The sequence below is a fragment of the Homo sapiens genome, chromosome 7 (assembly GCF_000001405.40).
Source record: "Homo sapiens chromosome 7, GRCh38.p14 Primary Assembly".
Lineage (NCBI taxonomy): Eukaryota > Metazoa > Chordata > Mammalia > Primates > Hominidae > Homo > Homo sapiens.
The window spans coordinates 44,874,721-44,900,143 of NC_000007.14; the positions used below are offsets into that span (position 1 = coordinate 44,874,721).

The 25,423-nt window shown below is 44.3% G+C and overlaps 1 protein-coding gene and 1 non-coding gene across 2 annotated transcripts, besides 7 other annotated features; both read right to left on the reverse strand.

Annotated features, from left to right (window-relative positions):
• Window positions 1-1,578: 1,578 nt before the first annotated feature.
• PURB (purine rich element binding protein B) lies at window positions 1,579-10,810 on the reverse strand. Its single transcript, NM_033224.5, has one exon. It carries the CDS (start codon window positions 10,626-10,628, stop codon window positions 9,690-9,692), a length of 939 nt encoding a protein of 312 aa, NP_150093.1. The 5' UTR covers window positions 10,629-10,810; the 3' UTR covers window positions 1,579-9,689.
• Window positions 2,950-3,244: a silencer, noted in NCBI's record as "tiled region #12861; HepG2 Repressive non-DNase unmatched - State 23:Low". NCBI's record gives its function as "represses a minimal TATA promoter and a strong SV40 promoter by Sharpr-MPRA in HepG2 cells {active_cell/tissue: HepG2}" and the evidence as "EXISTENCE:reporter gene assay evidence [ECO:0000049][PMID:27701403]".
• Window positions 7,028-7,080, reverse strand: MIR4657 (microRNA 4657). Its single transcript, NR_039801.1, has one exon. It is a non-coding gene; the product is annotated as a microRNA 4657 (primary transcript).
• Window positions 9,882-10,841: an enhancer, noted in NCBI's record as "NANOG-H3K27ac-H3K4me1 hESC enhancer chr7:44924201-44925160 (GRCh37/hg19 assembly coordinates)". NCBI's record gives its function as "activates a minimal SCP1, AML or CMV promoter by ChIP-STARR-seq in primed H9 embryonic stem cells {active_cell/tissue: H9 hESC(primed)}" and the evidence as "EXISTENCE:reporter gene assay evidence [ECO:0000049][PMID:30033119]".
• Window positions 9,882-10,999: a biological region, named in NCBI's record as "NANOG-H3K27ac-H3K4me1 hESC enhancer GRCh37_chr7:44924201-44925160".
• Window positions 10,300-10,349: a silencer, noted in NCBI's record as "silent region_18157". NCBI's record gives its function as "represses an Ori minimal core promoter by ATAC-STARR-seq in GM12878 lymphoblastoid cells {active_cell/tissue: GM12878}" and the evidence as "EXISTENCE:reporter gene assay evidence [ECO:0000049][PMID:35858748]".
• Window positions 10,640-10,999: a silencer, noted in NCBI's record as "silent region_18158". NCBI's record gives its function as "represses an Ori minimal core promoter by ATAC-STARR-seq in GM12878 lymphoblastoid cells {active_cell/tissue: GM12878}" and the evidence as "EXISTENCE:reporter gene assay evidence [ECO:0000049][PMID:35858748]".
• Window positions 10,990-11,239: an enhancer, noted in NCBI's record as "active region_25956". NCBI's record gives its function as "activates an Ori minimal core promoter by ATAC-STARR-seq in GM12878 lymphoblastoid cells {active_cell/tissue: GM12878}" and the evidence as "EXISTENCE:reporter gene assay evidence [ECO:0000049][PMID:35858748]".
• Window positions 12,837-12,936: an enhancer, noted in NCBI's record as "active region_25957". NCBI's record gives its function as "activates an Ori minimal core promoter by ATAC-STARR-seq in GM12878 lymphoblastoid cells {active_cell/tissue: GM12878}" and the evidence as "EXISTENCE:reporter gene assay evidence [ECO:0000049][PMID:35858748]".

Below are 25,423 nucleotides of genomic sequence, written 5' to 3' on the forward strand. Positions count from 1 at the left end.
AAACTTTTCTCAAGATGAGTTATTTTAGAGGTTTAAGTGGTAATTTAGGCACAGTGGTTGGGAGGTGAAAGCCATACATTCAAGGAATGTTCTGCTATACTCTTTTGTTTTCCTCTGGCAGAGATTCCCAACCCTTTTCCCTTCTTTATACCTTAAAATCCCACAGGCCACTGGTTTCACCCCTGACTGTAGGCTAGAATCACCTTGGGGAACTCAAAAAGGCAAAGCATTACCAAAAAACTCCATGTCTGTGTCTCAAAGATTGATTCAGTTGGTCTATGGTGGTGCCTGGGCATCAGTATTCAAAGCTTTCCAGGTGGTTCTGCAGCCAGCATTGAGAACCACTTAAGAGATTGTAGAAATGGACAATCACAGGAAAGTTATGTATGTTGTGTGTTGGGGGGGCTGGGGGCGGTGTAGGCATTTCGTAGCAGGAGCTTCTAATATAAAGAAAATATACGAGAACTAAAGGATTAAGCTATCTATACATAAAAAACCATCCCTCATTTTCAGAAAGGCACTATTTACTTATTAGTCTAGTTAGTGGTTCTCAAGAGTGTGATCCAGAATCCCCTAGGGTTGCCCGAGACTCAGGAGCCCAAGAGGTCAAAACTATGTTCATAAGAACATTCGCATTTTCCACTTTCATTCTTTCATAAATTTACAGTGGAGTTTTCCAGAGGCTATGACATTATCATGTAATTGCTCTGATAGCTGATGGAATGTGTGCTTGTTATTTTTGTCTGGAAAATGTTTCAGCTTCTTGGCCGGCGCGGTGGCTCACGCCTGTAATCCCAACACTTTGGGAGGCTGAGATGGGTAGATCACGAGGTCAGATTAAGACCATCTTGGCCAACATGGTAATACCCTGTCTCTACTGAAATACAAAAAATTAGCCGGGCGTGGTGGCACGTGCCCGTAATCACAACTACTTGGGAGGCTGAGGCAGGGGAATCGCTTGAACCCAGGAGGCGGAGGTTACAGTGAGCTGAGATTGCGCTGCTGTACTCCAGCCTGGCGACAGAGCAAGACTCCGTCTCAAAAAAAAAAAAAAAGTTTCAGCTTCTAAAATGGTATCTACGGATAAAGCCTAGAAAGATAAAACCTCCTTGGGGATATTCAGTAAATTTAATTGTAAAGGGGTTCCTGAGACCAACCTGGCCAGGATAAATGGACACAATTCAGTTTTTTTCTTAAACATTAGGGCAAGAAAAGGCTGCCCTAATTTACCTCCTAAGCAACTACAATGTTGATAAACAATGAATGAAGACTTAGCAGTTTCTTTCAAGCCATTGTAAATGATGGAAGAAATTAAGGGAACCAAGTGGCTGTCTAGGTTATCAACCAAAGCATAAAATTAATTTGCAGTTTTGATTTACTCCACAAATTGCTTACTAGAAAAGGGTTACGGCAACCCAGAAGTTCTAGAACAGGCTATAGTTCAGATGAAATGTGCAATGACTTAAGTCATTTTAAGTGGGAACTCCTGATTCCATACCCATTCGTGAGCCCCAACAGATGGGATTTCCCTCCCCTATCACCACATAATTACTTAGAGACACAAGCACAAGATTGTCATTCACTTTTCTGCATACTTTATTTGTTACAAACATACAATTTTTTTTAAATATAGACTGTAAAACTCCATTTGCAAAAGTCTATTGTAAGGAGTGCACACCAGCAGGAAGGATTCTTACATTTTTTCTCTGTGAGTTTTTCTGTCAGTTTTGCTAGTTAGTGGTAAATACGGGACCCGCCATTTTTACAGACCAGTCTGAAGCTTCTGACTGTATTCACATTGCTCTTTTGAAGCAGCCCTGCTCCTCTCAAAATTGATCAGAATCTGAGCTTCAACCTACAGGCAGTGAGATCAACAGCCCGTCTGGACTCTGCTTTTGAACGGTTTTCAGGAAGTGTGATTTCTGAATGGGTACTGCACTTCACAGATTTGTTTGAATTGCCCATGCAGCTCTATGTTTGTTAAAGTGCATTCTTCTTTAAAAAATAAGAGGAATAATCTTTACTCTTTAACCAAGGTACTTAAAAAAATGAACTTTTTGGTCTCTCAGCAGATATTCCCAAATTGATCCTATCACTACAAATTTTAGTGTTTTATTTACAGACATTTATAGGGTTACAGGTGGAGGGGACCTTATAAAATTAAAGGTGCAGCTTCTCTTGAAGCAGAAATCAGTTCTACAAATTCATACACAGGAATACACACTTGGTTTACAATGCATAAGCATGTGGGTATTTACACAGAGATTGAAGACATCCCCAAAAAACACATTTTAAAGTAATTTCCAACCTAAACTCTAATTGTACATCTAGATCAGGAAGCTGTCTCCTGCTATCAAGATTTGGTTTTAATTCATTCAAATTATTTCTGTAGATTCTCTACTGGCAGGACATCAGTCCCAGCTTTGGAGTGAATAGTCTAAGAAAGCCACTGGTAGATACTATGATTGGCAGTGAAGATTCCTATAGAACGGAAAGTATGTTATCTGGAAACAGAAGACAAATGAATTTTAAAAATGATCTTGGAAAAACATCTGGATGGAGGCCCAAAATAATAAATCCCTACTATAATTGTTTTAGAACTTCAAAAAAAGAAGTCCAGATACACTGACGATCTTAGTTACTATTCAAATATTGGTAAGTCATTGAAAAATAACTCAGATTTACTTGTCTACCGAAACGTGCAAAACCATGGACTCTTTATAAGTACGTCCCATACTGACTTAAAGCCAGTTTCTAGACTTTTTGGTCAACCTACTGACTTTTAGAAATTCAGAGAGTAGGCTAGGCGTGATGGCTCATGCCTGTAATTCCAGCATTTTGGGAAGCTGAGGCGGGCAGATCACTTGAGGTCAGGAGTTCGAGACCAGCCTGGCCAACATGGTGAAACCCCGTCTCTACTAAAAATACAGAAAATTAGCTGGGCATGGTGGCACATGCTTGTAATCCCAGCTACTTGGGAGGCTGAGGCAGGAGAATCGCTTGAGCCCGGGAGGCAAAGGTTGCAGTGAGCTGAGATCAAGCCACTACACTCACTCCAGCCTGGACGATAAGAGCGAAACTCCGTCTCAAAAAAAAAAAAAGAATCCAGAGAGCTTTTGTACACAGGGATGACACATGTGGGCTGGAACAAGGGTTTATGTCTAATATCTTATCAGTTCAAAATGAAACTCCCAAATTCCTACAACACAAATGTGTTTAATGATATAATCCAGTTCTTCAGTTCTCTTGGGACTCTCCCTGCAGTTATGTCTCTGAAAAAGGAATTTTACAAGAGAATAAACAAACCACTCACCATCCTATTTCTAAATATAAAGATTCTTCCAACCAGCCTGATCTTGCAACTCAGAGTTAAGACTGGGGACGAAATATTTGGCTTTAAGAAATAAGAGATGGCCTAAATGGATATTTTGGAAAAAGTTAGCTATTGAAGTGTTATTTAAGGTAAGGGGGAAAAAAGGACAAACTCATGCCTTCTGCAATATCCATCCTAGTGGACACTGAATAGGGCTATTGCTTTCTTTCCAATACTCTGGGCCCACATTTCATCATACTAAAAAGACATAATTAGTTTTCTTACCCATGTCAATGGATATTAGATATAACACAAGGAAAATGAAATTTGCTTCTAGACTCAAAATCTGTTGACACTTAAAGTATAATTATACTTTTTTATTAAACTGTTAGAATCATCTATGGAGAAAAATGAGTTTTAGCTTCCAATAAAGCTCTGCTCTTATTAGAAATCATATTGAGCAGTGAAACTACCAATATGGCAGTTGCTATTCTATTGTTTTAACATGACTCTACCTATCCCAATTGGAATGTCTAATTCAAGAGACATGAGTTAGATTTTCAAATTAAATGACTGTGAATAGAGGTGATTACACTGATGGCATATTCCCTATTTCTTTAGGAAATATAAAATACATTCATAAAGGCCTTACTTGGATCAGGGGTACAGATATCAATTGGGAATCTCTAAGGTAATAAGTTTTCTTGATGCGATTTTATTATTTTTTCATTTTCCAAATCTAATTTTCAGTACTGATAATTGGACAATTTTCAAGTAAGAGTCTGTTAAATCCGTCAGTAATAAAACTGAGTTTTAAGACTGAGGGCTGGGAAAGGAGACTTTAAATAGCAAAGTCAGACATATCAAAAGAAATCATTATTCAAGAGTCCAGCTATCTGCTGAAACTTCTGGGGGGCTAATACTTGAAAATTAAGGACTTTGTTTTTTCTAAGTTAAAAATGGGGGAAATGAAGTTATAATCTGCCATTTCCACCTTACATTTGGAATTTATTTATTTATTTTTTGAGACGGAGTCTTGTTCTGTTACCCAGGCTGGAGTGCAATGGCGCGATCTTGGCTCACTGCAACCTCCGCTTCCTGGGTTCATGCCATTCTCCTGCCTCAGCCTCCCAAGTAGCTGGGACTACAGGCATGCACCACCATGCCCGGCTAATTTTAGTATTTTTAGTAGAGACGGGGTTTCACCATGTTGTCCAGGCTGACCTGAACTGACCCGCCCACCTCAGCCTCCCAGAGTGCTGGGATTACAGGCGTGAGCCACCACGCCCGGCCGCATTTGGAATCTCAAATGGAGCATATGACACATACTTTATTCTTTTTTGTCTGTATTTTCTTAAGGTAAATGTGTTTTTTTTTTTTTCTTTTTTCTTTTCTACAAACTATCTCCCGCCCTCCCCAGCCCCACCCACACACCCATTATCCAGTATACTGAATGGGAGTTGTAACTCTTTAGGAAGACAGCTAATTGATTTACAGTACTCTAAAACCAACCCTGAAAACTGATAATCTCATTCACTTACTATAACTTCAGTGCTGTAGTTGACAGGAAAGAAAAAGTTACCTTAAGGCTCAAGGGAAAGTAACTTATTAAATTGTGAATGCAGCATTATTTACTCTCCCATCCATTGGAAACTAGCAAAATGCATTCTGGATCAATAATACAAACCTTCTAACATTAGCAAAGATTTCTACTCTTCTTACACAGAGTTAGAACAATATTCATAAGCAATTATCTAAGGGAGCCTGAGAAACTATGATCCACATCACACAAAGATTTCATGTATTTCATGATCAAAAAGTGCTTTATCTTTGAGAAATGTCAGGGTTACAATGGAAATATACAATGTAAAGTCACTTGATATTTTTTCAAGTGAAGTACAAAGTAGAAAAGGAGCAAAAAGATGGAGGCTCTGCTCTCTGAACAGGCCTTATGCATGTGACTTTTAGGGTGTACGAAATTAAAGTTGTTTTAAGAATTAAAAATAGTGGGACTTTACACCACTATATTCTAAAACCTGAGATTGGACATCAAAACAGTCAACTTTGTTATTCATCAGAGCAATTCTGATACTTCCTAAAAATATAAGATAACTCAACTGAATTAACTCCAGGGTCAAAAACATTAACTTTCCCCAATCAAAAAGGAGACCGATCACTATATACCAAGAGTGCTGCAGAAAGACAAACTCTCAGCAAATGAGTCATTTCTACATAAGCAAAAAAGTCACTTTTCTCCTTCCCTTTCTCACTGATCAAGGCCACACTATTTTCAAATGAATATCTACTGAGAGATCAGTTGTGCATTGGATAAAGTACCATAATTGGGTTAAAAATGAAAACAAAATTTACAGTGAAGAATACTTATGTGCATGGCTTACACACTCCAGCTTCTCAATTTCATCCACCTCAAGAGCAAGATAGATGCAAAGTCACCTTGTGTAGATTACATTCTACACCCCTGTAAAGCCAGTCAAGGTCACATTTAACAAAGCATCTTCAGCAACTACAGTGCCTGAAGTGTGCAGCCGTTTACAGACCACTCAATATGAGGGCATTATTATAACCAGCCTCTTTTGCCCACAACCCTGCATCTTCAGATAAGACAGGATAATTGTTTTGTTTTGAGAAAACTGAAGCTTAAATCTCTTAAAAGACCTGCAATTTACTGCAAAGTAATCCAGAGGTAACAAAGGAAGCAGGAGGTTAACGGCTGCCTGCACCAAAAGCCTCTCAATCATTTTGCAGTAAATAATTATGGAAAGTGATGTGACAAGTAGCCATGTGTGTATCACAGCTACAGTCATTTATACCACGTATATGCCTCCGATAGTTACATAGGGTGTTTGGGTTTTTGGTTTGGTTTTCACTTTGATTTTTGGTGCCATACAGATTTATATTTTGTTCTTGTGCAGCATATGCACTGAAAAACTTGCTGCTGTTCCACTTGCTGAAATGATAGGGACAATAGAAACCAAAACCAAAACATAGAAGGAAGAGTAGTAGGATCTCTTCACAGATTTTTATTCTTTTGATTCTGTTCCTAAAATTTGGCTTTTCACCTTTGTAACTATGGTAGTTTGGGAAACAAACCTTCTAACAATTATATGAAAAGAAGTTTTAGTTTCCTACTTCTCAGGAATATGACTATTTTGATTAGCTGGGATGTTTGCCAAGCTTAAAAAAAAAGGCTCAAAATCATTCATAGCAACAACTGAAAAACAAAAAAATTGGTTGTTTCCCATGTCTGTACAATGCCATTATCTGACTGGAATTAACAAAGACCATTTCCTTTAATAAGCTATTAATAATATTTACGAATGAATCTGTGTTTTGCAGGTTTCTATTGTCCCTAGTGACTGGAGTGAAGATCAGTGAAATGCTACAATTAATCCACAGCCTTCTGCAATCTTCCTGCAGTGGGAAGAGAGGCCATGAACCATCCCTTGCAGGAGAAACAAACCTTAGAGATTGGTTAAGACTTAAAAACCCACCACTATGACATTACCACTTAATCTTACATAGGCAGGTCAAAATTTTAATATAAATTACTTTTGCCAACACATAGCTTATGCATTCTTTGCTCCTTTTTTTGGAGGATTTTCAAATTGATATCTAAAGATTTACATATGATATATTACTGTTACATGGTCTAATGACTAAGAAAATTTCTCTGGTAACCAAAGCTGATGCCATATATGGTAGTGTTCTTGGCATATACTCTATATGCCTCAGACCACTTCCACATTCTTTCTATTCAGCTAATTATAGCTTAGTAGCCACTGGTGAAGGATTGTGAAGACCCTGTCATTTCTACAGAATAGAAAGGCAAGGCTAGTTACTGCAATTCAGCCAAACAAAAAGAAAAAAGAATAAACCAACCCCTTAAAAAGGAGAGGTACTGCACCTTTGCAAAATTGAACTGGCTCACTGCAGCTGAGCAACAGAACCACCACTGAAGCAAGAAAACAAGTTGGTCTATACAAGAATTGTACATGGTTTGAAAATGAAAAAGTTACAGCAATCAACTAATAGCTGCAACTTAAATTTTCATTGCTGCCTCAGAGTTGAAACTTAAATAGTTTCTGCAAACCTAATGCTAGCTTCTCAGCTCCTTTACTAAAACTATTTAGGAATTTGTTCTCCGCAGCAAAGAAATAGACACTCAAAACACGTAGGTAAATACAGCAGGACATTATTGAAAAACAGCTGCCTTGTAGTACAAAATACAGTACAAGTATACGGATGTCATTAAAACATCAAAAATACTATTGCTCCCATACAATTTAGGAAACATTCTTTGCAACGGAGAAAAATTTAAAAGAAAAGCTTTAAAAAAATCTGTTTAAAAATTCTACTGTGGATGATGAGAGTAGAGAAATAGTCTGAAAAGGGCACCAATGTTTGTGGCTCTTCCACTTTTTAATCTAAGATCAACAATATTCTGCATCATAATCTATTTTTTTAAAAAAGCCTAATTTTATGTACACAATTATTTCCCGCCCTCTCAGCCACAAATACATGAAAACCTTTTTGTATATTACTCATTTCCCAATAAATACAAAAAGATTGTATAGATTGAATAATACCAAAATAAGATAATAAAAAGGATATGCAATAAATTAAAAAGGCAGCTCAAATAAGGGGCAGGCATGCAGTTTAAAAAAAATACTAAGATTGTGGAGGCGGGGTTACTTGCCTCCTGGTTGAGAAGGTGTCACACAAAGAATACCTGAAAACTTTGGAAAGAACGTTAGCTCCCATTCAATTCAAAGTTACCTAGGTCTATGACATTTCTAGGAATACCTTTTGATGGGGTGGGATTAACTTGATTAGTAAAAATCATTTCTACTGAAAATCCATTTAAAATATAGAAGAGGCGATCCTTGAAAACCCCAACTTTTATTCTTGAAAGACAGCTGGATTAACTGGCAAAAGCCAGTTTGTTGAAATTTCAAGATGGTATAAAAATGCTTCCAGGATATAGTCAGCATATTCACGTTCACTTCAGTTCCATTCACAGATGGATTTCAGCTTCCACCGGGTGCACTGCTTGAATCACTCATCCATCATTTGCCAACTCTGATTGTGAGGTACTGATACAATGGATCAAGTTCTTAAAAATTTTAAAAGAATAAATGATGCTGGAATTCTGGACCTGAGGATCTTTAGTATTTGAACAAATCCACAGATTAAACTGAAGGTAAATTAAGACTTCAGTTTTGGTTATTTCCAACTTTTCTGTGAGGATGTATATCCATTAAAGCTCAGGCTTATAGCCACACTGTTACTTTTGTAGGTAATCTTCAAGTTTTATGGTTTAAAATCCAGCCAACCAGTGGCTGTAACAGCCGAATTAGCCATAATTCACTGGCTCACACAGTGGAGATCTGGCTCTCATTCATACCAAAGCATTTCTTGGTAATGACCTCCATATTTAGAGATCAGGGGAACAACTTTAGTGAGCAGCAACCAATCCACTCAAACAGTCTGCCTTGTGCTTTATGCCTGACTTTTTCTTGTGCCTACCTCAGCAACCCCCAATGTAAAACTGCTTTTATCTTTGAAAATTTTTTGTCAACTTTGAAACTATTTTAGTAACGGATTCTACTCCAAGCATTGCTATCTGAATCCACTGGCATCCTGGAAAACAATTCTGCGAAGAAAAGACATTTGCCTTGGTCCAGGTTCCATGCAAAACCATTTTTTTAAAAAAATGGATCCAATTTGGTTCTGTATTCTTAGATGGCTTCTTGAAATCTTATCTTTAACCTGTTCATGATTATCCCAAGTTGCATTTCTTTTCGTGAACCTGAACCCTCAGAACTGGGTAATTGTAAAGGCCTCTCTTCTCAAGGATTCCATGAAGACCTAGATCCAAAATGCTGATTTCAATGGAGGTGAAGGGATAGACACCGCAACAGTGAGGCCTAGAGAGATCTTTTATGCCAGATTACCCAGGTGCAACCTAAATGCAACTGTTATCAATGGTCTGGGTAACTTGGACATGTTTCTTGCCCTGGATGTGCAAGGATCTATTCCCTCCAGGGATTATCCTGATGGGTTTACGAACCTCAGTTGAGAAACAACAGAAGCTGAGACAATTTTACGCAGGTGAGGAGATGCTGTTTTCCTCTTTGCAGGTTGCTGTCAGTTCCTTGGAACTTGACTGCTTTTCTCAAGTTGTCCGTCACTGTTCTCTTACGATTATTTCTCTTAACTGTGTTACGTTTTGTTTTTTCCCTCTGCGGCCTCCCTTGCTCCCTCTCCACTAGCTCACTGGGGATGAGCAGGAAAGGGAATTCTCTAGCCAAGGGGATGGTGGTTGGGTGGAGGCCTGTAGGGGAAGCTGCCCGTTTCAATCCTCATCCACCTCCTCACCCTCTGACTCTTCGCCGCCGCCGCTGCCCCCACCACGTCGCTCATAAAGCTTATCCCTCTGTCGTTCCTGGATTTCTTTCATCTCATCCGCATACCGGCAAAAGGCGCCTCCGAACTTGCCCCAGGCTTTGAAGGGTACGGTGATGGCATTGCGGTAGGACGGCTTCACCTCGCTCACTCGCAGAAACACCCCGTATTTGTTGCAGCCCACATCGAAGAAGAAGCGCTTGGAGTCCACGGTGATGGAGGTGCCCTCCGGGAGCTCTCCATACAGGCCGCCCCCTGGGCCCCCGGCGCCGCCTCCCGGGCCGCCTGCCAGCTCGTCGTCCTCGCCTCCGTAGTCGTCTATGAGCTTCGCCAGCGCGTCGCGGAACTCGATGAGGCCCTGCGCAGGCAGCGCGATGGTCTGGCCGCTCTGCAAGCCGCCCGGCCCGGGGCCCGCGCCGAAGCCGCCACCGCCGCGGTTGACCGTTTGGCGGATGCGCAGGAAGCGGCCGCGCTGGTTCTCCTTGAGGTCCAGGTAGTACTTGCGGTTCTCACGCACCAAGAATTCGCTCTTGAGCGCGCGCCGCGGCCCGCCGCCCTCCTCGGCGCCAGCCGCCAGCTGCTCGGGGCTGCTAGGGCCCAGCTGCGCGTAGTGTTCTATGAAGTCGCCCAGCGAGTCGCGGAACTCGGCGGCCACCGCCATGGACAGCGTGAGGCGGCTCTTGGAACCGCCCGCGCCCACCTCGGCGATCTTGAGGAAGCGGCCCTTGGCGTTCTGCTTCACATCTAAGTAGAAGCGCTTGTTCTGGATGTCCAGCCGCTTCGAGGCCAGCTCCTGCGTCTCTTGCTCGCCGCCGCCGCGGGACGCGGGCTGGAACCCGCACGGCCCACCGCCGCCGCCGCGCTCGCTGCCGCTGTCGCCGTCCGCCATCTTCTAGGCCGCCGCCTCGCCGCCACCGCCCGCCGCGCTCGCGCCCCCGCCCTCCGGCTCGCGCTCCGGGGCCCCCCAGCCTCGCCCGCCCGGCTCGCTCACGCGCTCCCGCCGCTCATCGCCGGCCGCCGCCGCCCCCCCATCGCCTCCGCGCCCCGCCCCCGCGACTTCCGTGCAGCCCTAGCCACTTCCGGCGCGCGATTTCCCGTGAAGTCACTCCGTCCCGCCCTCCGCGGCCTCGCGGCCGGAAGCGCCGCGGCGGCGTGGCGCAGAGGGGTGACGTCAGGGGCCGCGCCGGGCGGGCGGCAAGCTGAGAGTAGGCTAGTGTTACTGCTCGGTTTCTAGCCCTGGGGACTTGCCAGCCTTAGCGTGACTCAGCCGCCCGCTGCGTCTGTCTACGCGCCTCTTCCCGTGACACTTTTACTTTAGACTCCGGTGTCGTCCACTTCCCTCCTTCTCGCTTCCGGGGCGTTAGCTGAGCATACTCAGGCCCCAGCCTGCTCGCGCTGGTTGTGTGCTGGGAACAGAGTTCCAGTCTATACACTGGCGACCGGGGGGAGGGAGATCCTTTGGAGCACTCGGAAGCGGGTTCTGACCAGCCTGTGGGGTTCCCTAGAGGAGGCATGAGCTGACTCTGAAGGGCAAACTGCAGTTGGCCTGGCAACTCTGGAGAAGAGCCACCCAGCATAGGAGACGGCAGTGCAGAGGCACCCAGGGCCTGATGCTGGGAGCTCAGAGCAGCTGGGGGTGTGTATGCCTGAAGAATGGTCGTAGATGACACTGGAGGGTGGATTAGATCAAGGAAAGCCATTTGCAGTGCGGGAGAGTTAGTGCCTACCCCAGAGTCTGGAGCCACCGTATGTGATCAGGTTCACATTTTGGAAAGATCACTGTGGGAACAATATAGAAAGAAGATGATTTAGGATGAGGTTAGATTTGGGATCCAGAGATCAGTTAACTGTCCCCACAGTTAGCCATATTAAAGTGGTTAAGGAAATTGACTGCCAATCTTTAGTTTCTTTATCAATAAAATGAATAATTCCTATGAGGTCTTTTTGTTGTAAGCATTGAGGTGTAACAAGAGGCAGAATTGGAATAGTGTTAAAAAGTGTAGGCTCTGCAACTGCACTGGGTTTGAATCTGTGACCTTGACCAGTTACTTGATTTTCCAAAGCCAAAATGTCCTCATCCTTAAATTTTTTTTTTTTTTTTTTTGAGTCTTGCTCTGTCACCCAGGCTGGAGTGCAGTGGCGTGATTTTAGCTCATTACACCCTCCACCTCCCGGGTTCAAGCAATTCTCCTACCTCAGCCTCCTGAGTAGCTGGGATTACAGGCAACCGCCACCACACCCGGCTAATTTTTGTATTTTTAGTAGAGATGGGGTTCCACAATGTTGGCCAGGCTGGTCTTGAACTCCTGACCTCAGGTGATCTGCCCGCCTCAGCCTCCCAAAGTGCTGGGATTACAGATGTGAGCCACCACACCCAGCCTAAATGTAGTTATTCATAGATAGTGAATCCAACAATGGACTTGTAAAGAACACAAATAATAGATAACCCAATATAAAAGGTGAAAGATTTTAACAGACACTTCGTCAAAAAAGCCAGTAAGCACATGAAACAGTGCTCAACATTATTCATCATTAGGGAAATATAAATTAAAGTCAGAATGAAATACCAACTAGAATGGCTAAAATTAAAAAATGTAACATCAAGTGTTGAGAAGGATGTGAAGAAACTGGAACTCATACATTGCTAGTAAGGATATAAAATGGTATAAATGCTTTGGGAAACAGTTTGGCAGTTTCTTATATACCTTTCATAAAATAAGACCCAACATTTCCACTTTTTTTTTTTTTTTGAGCAGTCTTGCTCTGTTGCCCAGGTTGGGGTGCAGTGGAACAATCTTGGCTCACTGCAACCTCTGCCTCCTGGGTTCAAGCAATTCTCCTGCTTCAGCCTCCTAAGTAGCTGGGACTATAGCCATACCCAGCTCATTTTTTGTATTTTAGTAGAGATAGGGTTTCACCGTGTTGCTCAGGCTGGTCTCGAACACCTGAGCTCAGGCAATCCACCCACCTCGGCCTCCCAAAGTGCTAGGATTACAGGCGTGACCCACCGCAGCCAGCCTCCACTTCTAGGTATTTACCCGAGGGAAGTGAAAGTATGATCACACAGTTTGTATGACCCCATTTATATAAAAGTATATGAAAGAGGAAGGTGTGTGTGTATGTGTCTGTGTGTGTGTGTGTCAGAGAGCAAATCAGTAGTTGCCTGGGCCTGAATATGGAGGGACAGATTGGAAAGGGTAATACAAGGAAACTTTTAAGGGTGATGTATTCTGTGTCTTGTTTATGGTAGTGATTTCACAGATTTGCCAAAACTCATTCAAATGTAGTTTATTATAGAGAAATTAGACCCCAATAAAGTAATTATTATTATTTTGAAAAGACACGAATCAAAGAGGATGTTGGGGACAACTGCACTAAAAAAAAAAATACCTTGTAGGGTTGTTGGGCAGTAATCCTTGAAACATGTTTAGCGTAATGCCTGAATTACAGTGAGTGCTCAATAAATGTGAATTCGGGTGCATCCACATGGGTCAGTAGTAATTAGGTGTGGGAGCTGCCAGCAGGTAGGGTGGATTTGACATCAGTTTCCTAGAAGAAGGAGAGTTCAGAGGAAGATACCAAATTTTGGGTCGTGAACAATTCAATCCTTGGAGAGGATTGAGACATTAAAATCCCTAAGGAAGGAATGCAATGTCAGGCATCACTTGACCTTTGTGAAAGATGTCCACCCAGCTCCTTCTCTGGTTTCTTGCTAACCAACTTTCTGATTTCTCCTCTCTAATGCAACTTCCCTACATAGAGGACACCAACATTCAGTTCATGAAAAGGACTATCTCTCTGTTCATTTCTTTTTTTTTTTGAGACAGAGTCTCACTCTGTCACCAGGCTGGAGTGCAGTGGCATGATCTCAGCTTACTGCAACCTCTGTCTCCTGGGTTCAACGGATTCTCCTGCCTCAGCCTCCTGAGTAGCTGGAACTACAGGCATGTGACCACCGTGCCCAGCTAATTTTTGTAGTTTTAGTAGAGACAGGGTTTCACCATGTTGGCCAGGATGGTCTTGATCTCTTGACCTCGTGATCCGCCCGCCTTGGCCTCCCAAAGTGCTGGGATTATAGGCATGAGCCACTGCGCCCAGCCCCCTCTGTTCATTTCTTTCTTTCTTTCTTTTTTTTTTTTTTGAGAGTCTTGCTCTGTCGCTCAGGCTGGAGTGCAGTGGCGTGATCTTGGCTCATTGCAAGCCACGTTTCCCGGGTTCATGCCATTCTCTTGCCTCAGCCTTCCGAGTAGGTGGGACTGCAGGCGCCTGCCACCACGCCCGGCTAATTTTTTATGTTTTTAGTAGAGATGGGGTTTCACTGTGTTAGCCAGGATGGTCTAGATCTCCTGACCTTGTGATCTGCCTGCCTCGGCCTCCCAAAGTGCTGGGATTACAGGCATGAGCCACCGCGCCCGGACCCCTCTGTTCATTTCTTATCAGTTTGATTTTAACCAGTCCAATTCTATTTAATGAGTCAGATATATTGCTTGTTTCTTTTGAAATTTCATTCTTTGCTTTAAGCCTAGGATCTTCTCCCCTTTCAGATATTCGGTAGTCATGTTTTTGAACACTTTTGGAAGCTTTTTATGGTTTTATTTTTTATATATGTGATTTTACTATATATTTACATTTTACGTTTAACTATCTGAAATATATTTTGGTGTATAGTATGAGTGAAGAATTTAAAAAATTTCCTCCAAATGACTAACCAATTGTTCCAGTACTATTTATTGAATAATCCTTTAGGGATGGATCTCAACAGGTGGAGACAGGGGTAGATTATTTTGGGCAGAGGGAACATATGTCCCCAGATGGTGAGAAGTTCAGTTTGGATAGAGCCCAGCATCTATGAGGAGTAAGTGGTGAACAATGGATCTGGAAGGTAGTTAGACTGGGTCCTACTGGGGAGGCCTTTGACTTGTAGGCAGGGAGCTTGGGCTAGATTGAAGAGTCAAGGGGGAGCCACTTGACTGTGCGAACAGAAGTGTAACACCTCGAGCTCTGTGCTTCAAGGAAGTGATCCATAGTAGAGGATAGCATGGGTGGGTTAGGGTGGGACCTAGGATGGGCTCTTAGTTGGAGGCAATGACTGTGTTGCAGACAAGAGCCAGCAAGGATTGGGTGCAGCTGGTGGCAGTGCTGGTGGGAGGGGAGGGAGCATGTGGGGCCTTTGGCTCAGGATTCGAAAACTAAATGTGGGGCATGAGAGAAGGAGAGGAGGATGATTTTTTTTTCTTTTTTTTCGGAGACAAGGTCTTGTTATGTTGCCCAGGCTTGTCTTGAACTTTTAGGCTCAAGTAATCCTCCTACCTCAGCTTCCCAAGTAGCTGGGATTACAGGCACACACCACTGCACCCAGTTGGAGGATTATTATTATTATTTAGACAGAGTCTTGCTGTGTCGCCCAGGCTGGAGTGCAGTGGCACGATCTCCGCTCACTGCAACCTCCGCCTCCCAGGTTCAAGTGATTCGCCTCCCTTAGCCTCTCAAGTGGCTGGGACTACAGGCGCCAGCCACCATGCCTGGCTAATTTTATTTTGTATTTTTAGTAGAGATGGGGTTTCACTATGTTGGCCAGGCTGGTCTTGAACTCCTCACCTCATGATCTGCCTGCCTTGGCCTCCCAAAGTGCTGGGATTACAGGCATGAGCCACCACACCCAGCCGGATTATTATTTTTTATTATTTATTTATTTATTTATTTTTATTTTCATTTTCGAGACAGTCTTCTCTGTCACCCAGGCTAGAATGCAGTGGCGTGATCTCGGCTCACTGCAACCTCCACCTCCCGGGTTCAAGCGATTCTCCTGCCTCAGCCTCCCAAGTAGCTGGGATTACAGGCGCCCACTACTGTGCCCGGCTAATTTTTGTATTTTTAGCAGAGACGGGGTTTCACCATCTTGGCCAGGCTGGTCTTGAACTCCTGACCTCATGATCCACCTGCCTTGGCCTCCAAAAGTGCTGGGATTACAGGCGTGAGCCACAACACCTGACCTATTTTTTATTTTTTTATTTTTATTTTATTTTTTGAGGTGGAGTCTCACTCTTTCGCCCAGTCTGGAGTGTAATGGCACGGTCTCGGCTCACTGCCACCTGCCTCCCAGGATCAAGTGATTCTCCTACCTCAGCCTCCCGAGTAGCTGGGACTATGGGTGTGTGCTACCACACCTGGCTAATTTTTGTAATTTTAGTAGAGACAGGGTTTCACTGTTGGTCAGGCTGGTCTCAAACTCCTGACCTTGTGATCCGCCGGCCTTGGCCTCCCAAAGTGCTGGTATCACAGGCGTGAGCCACCGTGCCTGGCCGAGGATTATTTTGAAGTAGGTGCTCAGATGATGAGGGACCAAGGCTAACCTTAGCAAAATAAGGCTAAGAGGATGAACTCTTTAGATGAAGATGATATCAAACACTGAATTGAGGCTTTCACAGTTCCCCTTGCTGCAGATGTTAGGTACTTCTCCCCTGTGTAATTCACAATACATGGCACATAACAGGATGAGCTGCTTTGATGCATTTTTGGAATATCAAATACTTTCCTCAGAAGTTTTTTACTTCTTAGTGGCCTTGAGTCCCTGCTTTGACTGCTTTTTGGCAATTTGAGCGTAATTGAGGATGGATCTCACTGTTGGCATGTTAAATTTGAGGAGCTGGCCGAATGCCTGAGAGGATATTTCCAAGTGTCTCTGGAACTCAGAGAATCAGAGTCCAGAAAAGAGGCAAGTAACAGAGATGCAGGTTTGGGAGCCACCAGCAGACAGGTGGAGTGGACATCAGGCTCAGAGAGGGTTGTGTGGGGAAATCAGGGAAAGATGAAGAGGATGAGGAGAGAGAAAGGCCAAGGGGTCAGAAGACTGTGAGGTCACAGGTGATAGTTCATAGTGAGCTGTATATGAACTATGTACTTGGGCTTCCCACAAGTTTTGGAAACACATCACAAATCACCCAGCTCTTAGGAGGTGGAGCAGAGACTGGAACTCGAGTCTTCTGATTCTAAATTCTGTGTCTCTGACACTGTGTCACTTTGGGGCCCCAGGGGATGGAAGCCAGATGTCAGAACGCTCACAAGTAAATGCAGGGGCAGGAAGTGTAGATTGAGGAGGTATTTCATGTGGCAGAAGGTGACAAAAGATGGGTACTGGCAAAGGAAGGCAGGATGAAGGCTGTTTTACCCCAGAGAAACCTGAGCCAGCTCTGAGGCTGAGGAGAGGAGAGGGGTGCTGAGGGGTCATGACAGAAGCCTCTCAGTGAGGCCTGGAGTAGGCACAGAAGTTGGGCACTCAGGAAAGGAATTGGGTCCTAGAACATGAGAAGGCATCCTTTTTCTTCTGAGATCAAGGAGAGAAAAGGAGATACTGGAGCTTCCAGTGGAGAGGAGGGAAGTTGGAGGAGTTCTTGGTGAAAGGGCCTAAGAGTGAGGCCACACTAAGGAGGAGGCTGCAAAGACCTGTGAGGCCTGGGCTGGACTAAAAGCCTGCTGAACAGCCCCAGGGCCTGGCCAAGACTAGGGCAGAAGCAGGATGGGCTAGATCTGCACCTTGGAGGAGCTGGGAGTCTGGGCTGGAGGCAGCAGATGGAAGTGGGCCTTGCCAGGGCTGGGAGATGGTTGTGGGGGTGCCAGATCCTGGGGACAGTAGCCTCAGATGGCCAGCCATGGGCAGACAAAGCTGGGCATTCAGGAGAACCAGGCCTGGAGAATGAGGAAGGGTTTGCACATTGCAGGGTGGGCACGCCTTTTTTCCCTCATTGCTTTTCCTTGTAGACTTTTTACTTGTTTATTTTTGAGACATGTTCTCGCTCGGTTGTCTAGGCTGGAGTGCAATGGCGTGATCTCTGCTCACTGCAGCCTCTGCCTCCTGGACTCAAGCAATCCTCCCACCTCAGCTCCCAGAGTAGCTGGGATTACAGGCATGTGCTACCACACCCAGTTAATTTTTAAAATATTTTTTGTAGAGATGGGGTTTTGCCATGTTGCCCAGGCTGGTCTCGAACTCCTGAGCTCAAGCAATCTAACCGCTTTGGCCTCCCAAAGTTGGATTACAGGCATGAGCTCGGCCTTCCTTTTAAACTTAAAATGTAAACTTACAGAACAGCTGCAATAATAGTATTCTTCACACAGATTCCCCAAAATGTTAACATCACGGTGTTTGTGTCATTACGCTTTTCATCTTTATGTTTCTTCATCTCTGTCTCTACACACACACACACACACACACACACACACACACACACACACGCTATTTGACATTTTTCTTTCTCCTGAACCATTTGAGAATAAACTGAAATATGATGACCACTTACCTTTAAACACTTCAGTGTCTATTCAAGGTCATTCTCTCACCTATCTAGAGCACAACAATCAAAATCGAGAAACCAGCACAGATCTGACAATGTTGTCTAATCTGCAGACTTTATTATTCAGATTTCACCAAGTGTCTTGATTGCATCCTCTACAGCAAAGGAGACTTTTGCAGCATTAACTGCCACAGGCCCACCCCCAACCACCACTTCTTTTTTAAGACAGAGTCTCACTCTGTCACCCAGGCTGGAGTACAGTGGCGCTATCTTGGCTCACTGCAACCTCTACCTCCTAGGTTCAAGCGACCCTCCTGCATCAGCCTCCTGAGTAGCTGGGATTACAGGTGTGTGCCACCATGCCCGGCTAACTTTTGTAATTTTAGTAGAGATGGGGTTTCACCATATTGGCCAGGCTCGTCTCAAACTCCTGACCTCAGGTGATCTGCCCACCTTGGCCTCGAAAAGTGTTGGGATTACAGATGTGAGCCACCGCGCCCAGCTACCCCACTCTCTTTAATCTGGAGCCATCCCTGGGTCTCTCTTTGTCTTTCACATGAGTGACATTTTGAAATATGAAGGCCGATTATTTTGTAGTTTGTCCCCATTTGTGTTTGCCGGGAGTGCTTCCTGACCACAATCTGAAAACTCCTCACGTCCTGGCTGGCTCAACTTCCCGTAGTGAGTGAGACGTTGCCTGTTGTGCCTGATGCTGAGAAGAGGACGAGGAGATGGTTGAAGGTCCCAGGGTCAGGGACAGGCTGGCAGGAGAGCTTGGGGATGGTCAAAAGGGGATTGCGATGGATGGAGACTGCATATGTGCTTCCTGGGCCCTCCTGCTTTGAGCTGCTTAGAAGCTGCAGTCTTCTTTGCCTTTCCTGCCCATCAGGCATTAAACTGAACTAGAGGGAACAAGACAAGATGACAGTTAGGAGAAACTGGTGTCCAGGATATGCCATCCTAGCGGGTGCTGACACTGAGATTCCCAGGCCAGGCACCCCGTGCTGCAAATGCTTTGCAGCTTGACACTCTGGGCCAAGTATCCAGCTGGCTTGCTTTGAAGCCTCCAGTGATGTTTTTTGGATTTGTGTGGCTGAAAGGAAGTTTGTGCATCTTGCACAGTCTAAAGAGATTGCCTAATTCTGGCTCTGGGCAGAAGGCCCACACCTGCCGTTTATTCTGGGGATTTTTGTCTTATGTAAGGTAGAAAATCAATTCCTTGTGTTAGTATTGGGTTCCAGGAAGCGGAGTTCTCAGCCTCAGGGCTTATCAATCAAATCAGCTGCCCTCCATGATTTGTAGTTCCTCTTCTGGCACGCCCAGAGGTTGGGAAGCTGCGTTAGGCACAGTTGCTGTGCCCTGTGGAGTCTGCACTCACCTAGTGCTCCCTGGGGGCCTCATGAGCCCCTGGAAGATTGATATGTTAAAGGACTGGAGCCTTGAGGCCCTGCGTGTGGCTCACGCCTGTAATCCCAGCACTTTGGGAGGCAGAGGCAGACGGATCATTTGAGGTCAGGGGTTTGAAACCAACCTGGCCAACACGGTGAAACCTCGTCTCTACTAAAAATACAAAAATTAGCCGGGCATGGTGATGGGCACCTGTAATCCCAGCTACTTGGGAGGCTGAGGCAGGAGAATTGCTTGAGCCCGGGAGGCAGAGGTTGCAGTGAGCAGAGATTGTGCCGCTGCACTCCAGTCTGGATGACAGAGTAAGACTCTGTTTCAAACAAACAAACAAACAAACAAACAAACAAAAAACTGGAGCCTTGAAACATTCCAAACCTTCACTGCCCAGTGTTCCTGGGACAAGTTACTTCACTTCTGTGGGTCATGCCCTCCTGGAGGGCAGGCACTTGCACCTTACAGAGCTGCCTGAGCAGTAAGGAAGGTATTGTGTGCAGGCCACTTGTGGATGTGTTTGGTACATCCATGCTCAAATATGTTGCTGCTGTTATTGATGTTATTCATGAATATGGTTGAGCTTTCTCCATAAATCTCCTGGCTGGCTCCATATTCTATAAGACTCTACTGGTTTCAGCTAATGTTGGGTGGAGAGAACCTGCAAATAAAACACAGATGTACTTGGATGAGGGAGTTGAAACCCCCAAATGCAATGATCTTCAAGGGAACAGGATGCCTAGGAACATAGTGGTTGGAAAGCATATCAGCTGGTGATGAATAAGCAGGTCTGAGGCAGTCATAACCAGGGTCACTGGTGTTTGAACCCACTCATTTATATCCTGAAACAATAGGGGAAGGACTTACACACATGGCCTTCTGTGGGGTGGCTTCTGCCCTTCATGCCCTGTCTCTCAGCCAACAGCTGAGTATGAGAAGCCTCCTCCTAGACTCCCAGCTGCCCCTGACCCCTGGCCAGGGCCAGCTGTTGTGCCAACAAAGCCTCCAGTCAGGGGCTCTGGTCCCAGCTGCTGTGGGGAACAGGTTTGACCTTTCCAAGCGCCCATAGGTCACTTGTGGTCTTTCTGTGGAGACAGCCAACAGCCCATCTGTTCTTGCTTCTCATCTCACTCAGAAAATCCTAGCGCTCCCCCTGCTCCACTGGAACCCCTCATTTCCTGGGGATTCTATTTCTGCCTCCCCTGAACCTTCCAGAAGGGCCTTCTGGCTCAGAACCAGACCCCTGCCTGGTTACTCCGTCTGCCCTTCTGCCTGATTAGAGCAAGGGTCTCGCACAGGCTGGACAATGCCCAAGTCTGTGCTGAGCACAAAACAAGGCCATGTGATGGAGGGGCAGGGTTTCTGGATGCTGTCATTAATGATAACAGCCTGAACTATATCCATGACCTTTAAAAACATCTTTAACTGAAGGAAGTTAAAATACAGAAAGAGGGAAGATTAGGACAAACCTTATGGTTGGATTAGATTTAGAGATATTGGTAGGAGCTCATGATTTCATTACATGCACACACACACACAGAGATTGATATAGAAATTTGGCTGGGCGCAGTGGCTCACGCCTGCAATCCCAGCACTTTGGGAGGCCGAGGTGGGCAGATGACTTGAAGTCAGGAGTTCAAGACCAGCTTGGCCAACATGGCAAAATCCAGTCTCTACTAAAAATACAAAAAGAATTAGCTGGGTGTCATGGCGCATGCCTGTAATCCCAGCTACTCGGGAGGCTGAGGCAGGAGAATTACTTGAACCCAGGAAGCAGAGGTTGCAGTGAGCTGAGATCGCGCCACTGCACTCCAGCCTGGGCAACAGAGTGACCTGTCTCAAAAAAAAAAATACACATATGCATATTTACACACAGATATGGGAGTACACACATAAGCGAATTCACACTCATGCAGACAGATATAGAAATACATACATATGCAAATTCATATGCATACAGATATAGAAATACACACGGCCACATAGGTATGGGTGCGTGTATATTTGAACACATGTATGTGTGCTAGAAGCAATGATGGCCTCGGGGGGAACAAGCACAACTGGGACCCAGATCTTGGTTTGTTGATACCATGCTCTAAAAGGAACCAGAGCTCCTTGGAGAAATGACTGATTTTGGGTTAGAGAAGAGAAAACATAAATTGAGCCTGGAATATCTTGTGTCAGAAAGTAAGTCTTTAAAAAAAGGAGGGATGGCCGGGTGCAGTGGCTCATGCCTGTAATCCCAGCACTTTGGGAGGCCAAGGCGGGCGGATCACGAGGTCAGGAGATCAAGACCATCCTGGCTAATACGGTAAAACCCCGTCTCTACTAAAAATACAAAAAATTAGCTGGGCATAGTGGCGGACGCCTGTAGTCCCAGCTACTCAGGAGGCTGAGGCAGCAGAATGGCGTGAACCCGGGAGGCGGAGCTTGCAGTGAGCCGAGATTGTGCCACTGCACTCCAGCCTGGGCGACAGAGTGAGACTCTCTCAAAAAAACAAAACAAAACAAACAAAAAAACAAAAAAACGAGGGGACATGTCAAAGGGACACTCTTGCTGGCTAAATCTGTGACAATTTAGTCTTGAAATAAATAATGATAGCAACAGGCAAAGGGACACTCCTGCTGGCTAAATCTGGGACAATTTAATCATGAAATAAATAATAATAGCAAGAGAATATCAGCTACTGAATAAAATAAGGATTCATGTATACGTGCTGATATACATAAATAAATGAGAGCAAGAATCGTTCTTCCTTATAATAGAATGCCACATGATAAATATGGGAAAAATGATGGAATTTGAAACCAGTGGGTTAAAGTTTGCTGAGTAAAAATATATACATTGGCCAGGCGTGGTGGCTCACGCCTGTAATCCCAGCACTTTGGGAAGCCGAGGTGGGTGGATCACGAGGTCAGGAGTTTGAGACCAACCTGACCAACATGGTGAAACCCCATCTCTACTAAAAATACAAAAAAATTAGCTTGGCATGGTGGCGCGTGCCTGTAATCCCAGCTACTCGGGAGGCTGAGGCAGGAGAATCGCTTGAACCTGGGAGGCAGAGGTTGCAGTGAGCTGAGATTGTGCAACTGCACTCCAGCCTGGGCGACAGAGTGAGACTCTGTCTCAAAAAAAAAAAAAATTACATAGTCTCCCCAGAAGTACATATTAATTACAGAAGGAAAATTAGCAACTCTACAGTGATAAACCTGGCATTCACTGCCTTATCCCAGTGATCACAGTTAACAGCAGCAGAAATGGGACACATGGGCATCATGAACCTCCTGATACGATCACCAAGAAGGACATAGCATCACTTCTTTAGTATTTCCACACAAAATGCAAAACCTGAGTCTCATCAGGAGGAAATAGCAGACAAACTCACATTGGGGGAAATTCCACAAAACCACAGGCTATGAAATAACTACAAAAATGTCAGTGTCATGAAAGAGAAAAACTGAAGAATGGTTTCAGATTAAAGGAAAATTAAGAGAAGTAATGACAGTATGTGTTTGGGCTCTTCTTTGCCATAACAAACATTAAGGTCTGTAAATCAGATAATAACACTGTGTTAATGTTAATTTCCTGATTTTGATAATTGTACTTTGGTTATGTAAGGTAATATCTTTGTTTTTAGGAAATACACACTGAAGTATTTAGAAATGAAAGAGACATAATTGCTGCAATTTACACTCATTCAGAAAAAGGCATACACATTCACAGAGAATGATAAAGCAAACGTGGGAAAGTATTAACAGTTGGAGAATGGTAAAGGGTGTTAAATTAAATATGCTGGCTGGGTGTGGTGGCTCACACCTGTACTCCCAGCACTTTGGGAGGCCGAGGTGGGAGGACCACTTGAGCTCAGGCCAGCCTGGGCAACAGAGTGAGACCTTGTCTCCAAAAAAATTTAAATAAGCAGGAGGCCATTAGCCTGAGGCTGTCTCTGTTTTTTGAATTCCGGCATAATACAATGCAACCTAACTTAGTATATAAAGAAACCAAAACTTAAGAGTATGTTTTTTGTAATAAATAGCCAGATTTCAGCCAATCACAACAGCCAAGCTTCAGCAAATGACAGGCCGCCAACTCATCATACCATGCCCAAATAAGGCAGATGCCTGGCTGTAGCCAATCAAGTGATTTCTTTATTTTTGTGTTCAGCCTATAAAAGCTCACTGTTCACTGCCAGGCAGAGGTCCCTGAACCTCTCCTTTTTTTTTTTTTTTTTTTTTTAAGATGGAGTCTGGCTTTGTCGCCCAGGCTGGAGTGCAGTGGCGTAATCTTGGCTCACTGCAAGCTCCGCCTCCCAGGTTCACTCCATTCTCCTGCCTTAGCCTCCCGAGTAGCTGCGTCTACAGGCGCCCACCACCATGCCTGGCTAATTTTTTGTGCTTTTAGTAGAGGCGGGGTTTCACCGTGTTAGCCAGGATGGCCTCTATCTCCTGACCTTGTGATGTGCCTGCCTCGGCTTCCCAAAGTGCTGAGATTACAGGCATGAGCCACCTCACCCGGCCCTGAACCTCTTCTGATTCTGAGTGCTAATTGATTCAGGAATTGTTATTTACTCAGATAAACTGTTAAACTTGTTTCTAAAGCTTTTTTTTTTAACAAGGATATACAGAAATTCTTTTTATTTTATTTATTTATTTATATATTTTTTTTGAGACGGAGTCTCACTCTGTTGCCCAGGCTGGAGTGCAGTGGTGTGATCTCGGCTCACTGCAACGTCTGCCTCCTGGGTTCAGGTGATTCTCCCGCCTCAGTCTTCCGAGTAGCTGGGATTACAGGCACGCGCCACCACGCCTAGCTAATTTTTGTGTTTGTAGTAGAGACAGAGTTTTGCCATGTTGGCCAGGCTGGTCTTGAACCCCTGAACTCAGGTGATCCTCCAGCCTCAGCCTTCCAAAGTGTTAGGATTATAGGCATGAGCCACCATGCCCAGCCATATACAGAAATTCTTTGTGCTGTTCTTGCAACTTTTCTCAAAGTCTGAAATTATGTAAAAATAAAAAGTAAAAAGAAACCTTCAACTTCTTGAAATGTTTTAAAAATGATTTAAAATAAATTTTGTTAGTGCTCTTTTTCCCATTGTATTCTTTTCGTTTTCACTGTCTAGTTTAGCATGAAATCCTTGTAATTGGTCCCTTGCCTATTTAGAATCTCTATGAAGATCTTCTAAGGGCCTCTGAGCCATGGTGAGTTCTCTCTGGACAGAGACACACAGCCCTCTGGTATACTCTTAAGCATTTACCATGTTCTGCCTTAGGATGCAGCTATTTCTGAAGTCTTCTTTTCCTGCATACTTGCAAACTCCTTAGGGTCAGGGACTATCTCTTATTTTTGTATCTTCGTTGTAAACACTCACTAAATATTTAATGGAATTAAATTGAAAAGTAGTACACAATTTTCAACTTTCCATTCATTAAACATGAAAATGAACGCACATTAGACAATCATAACTGAGTTTCAACAGAACATCCTGATGATGTCACTATGTTTCTTCTCCTATTTAAAAATGTGTTCTTGGCTGGGCGTGGTGGCTCACGCCTGTAATCTCAGCACTTTGGGAGGCTGAGGTGGGCAGGTCACGAGGTCAGGAGTTCGAGACCAGCCTGGTCGACATTGCAAAACCCCGTTTTTACTACAAATACAAAAATTAGCTGGGCATGGTGGTGGGCGCCTGTAATCCCAGCTACTCGGGAGGCTGAGGCAGGAGAATCGCTTGAACCTGGGAGGCAGAGGTTGCAGTGAGCCAAGATCGTGCCACTGCACTCCAGCCTGGGCAACAAAAGCAAGACTCCATCTCAAAAAAAATAAATAAATAAAAAATAAAAAATAAAAATGTGTTCTCCTTTGACAAATATGCTTTTATTGTAGAAAATTTTGAAATTTCAGAAAAGAAACAAAATAAGAACATGTAAATGATTCAGAATGCTGCGTGCTACACAGAGATATTAGTGTCTAGCCTTCTGAGTTTTTCCTATGCAAAAT

Coding starts and splice junctions, on each gene's coding strand:
- PURB (NM_033224.5), bottom strand. CDS start 10,628: ATGGCGGACGGCGACAGCGGCAGCGAGCGCGGCGGCGGCGGTGGGCCG.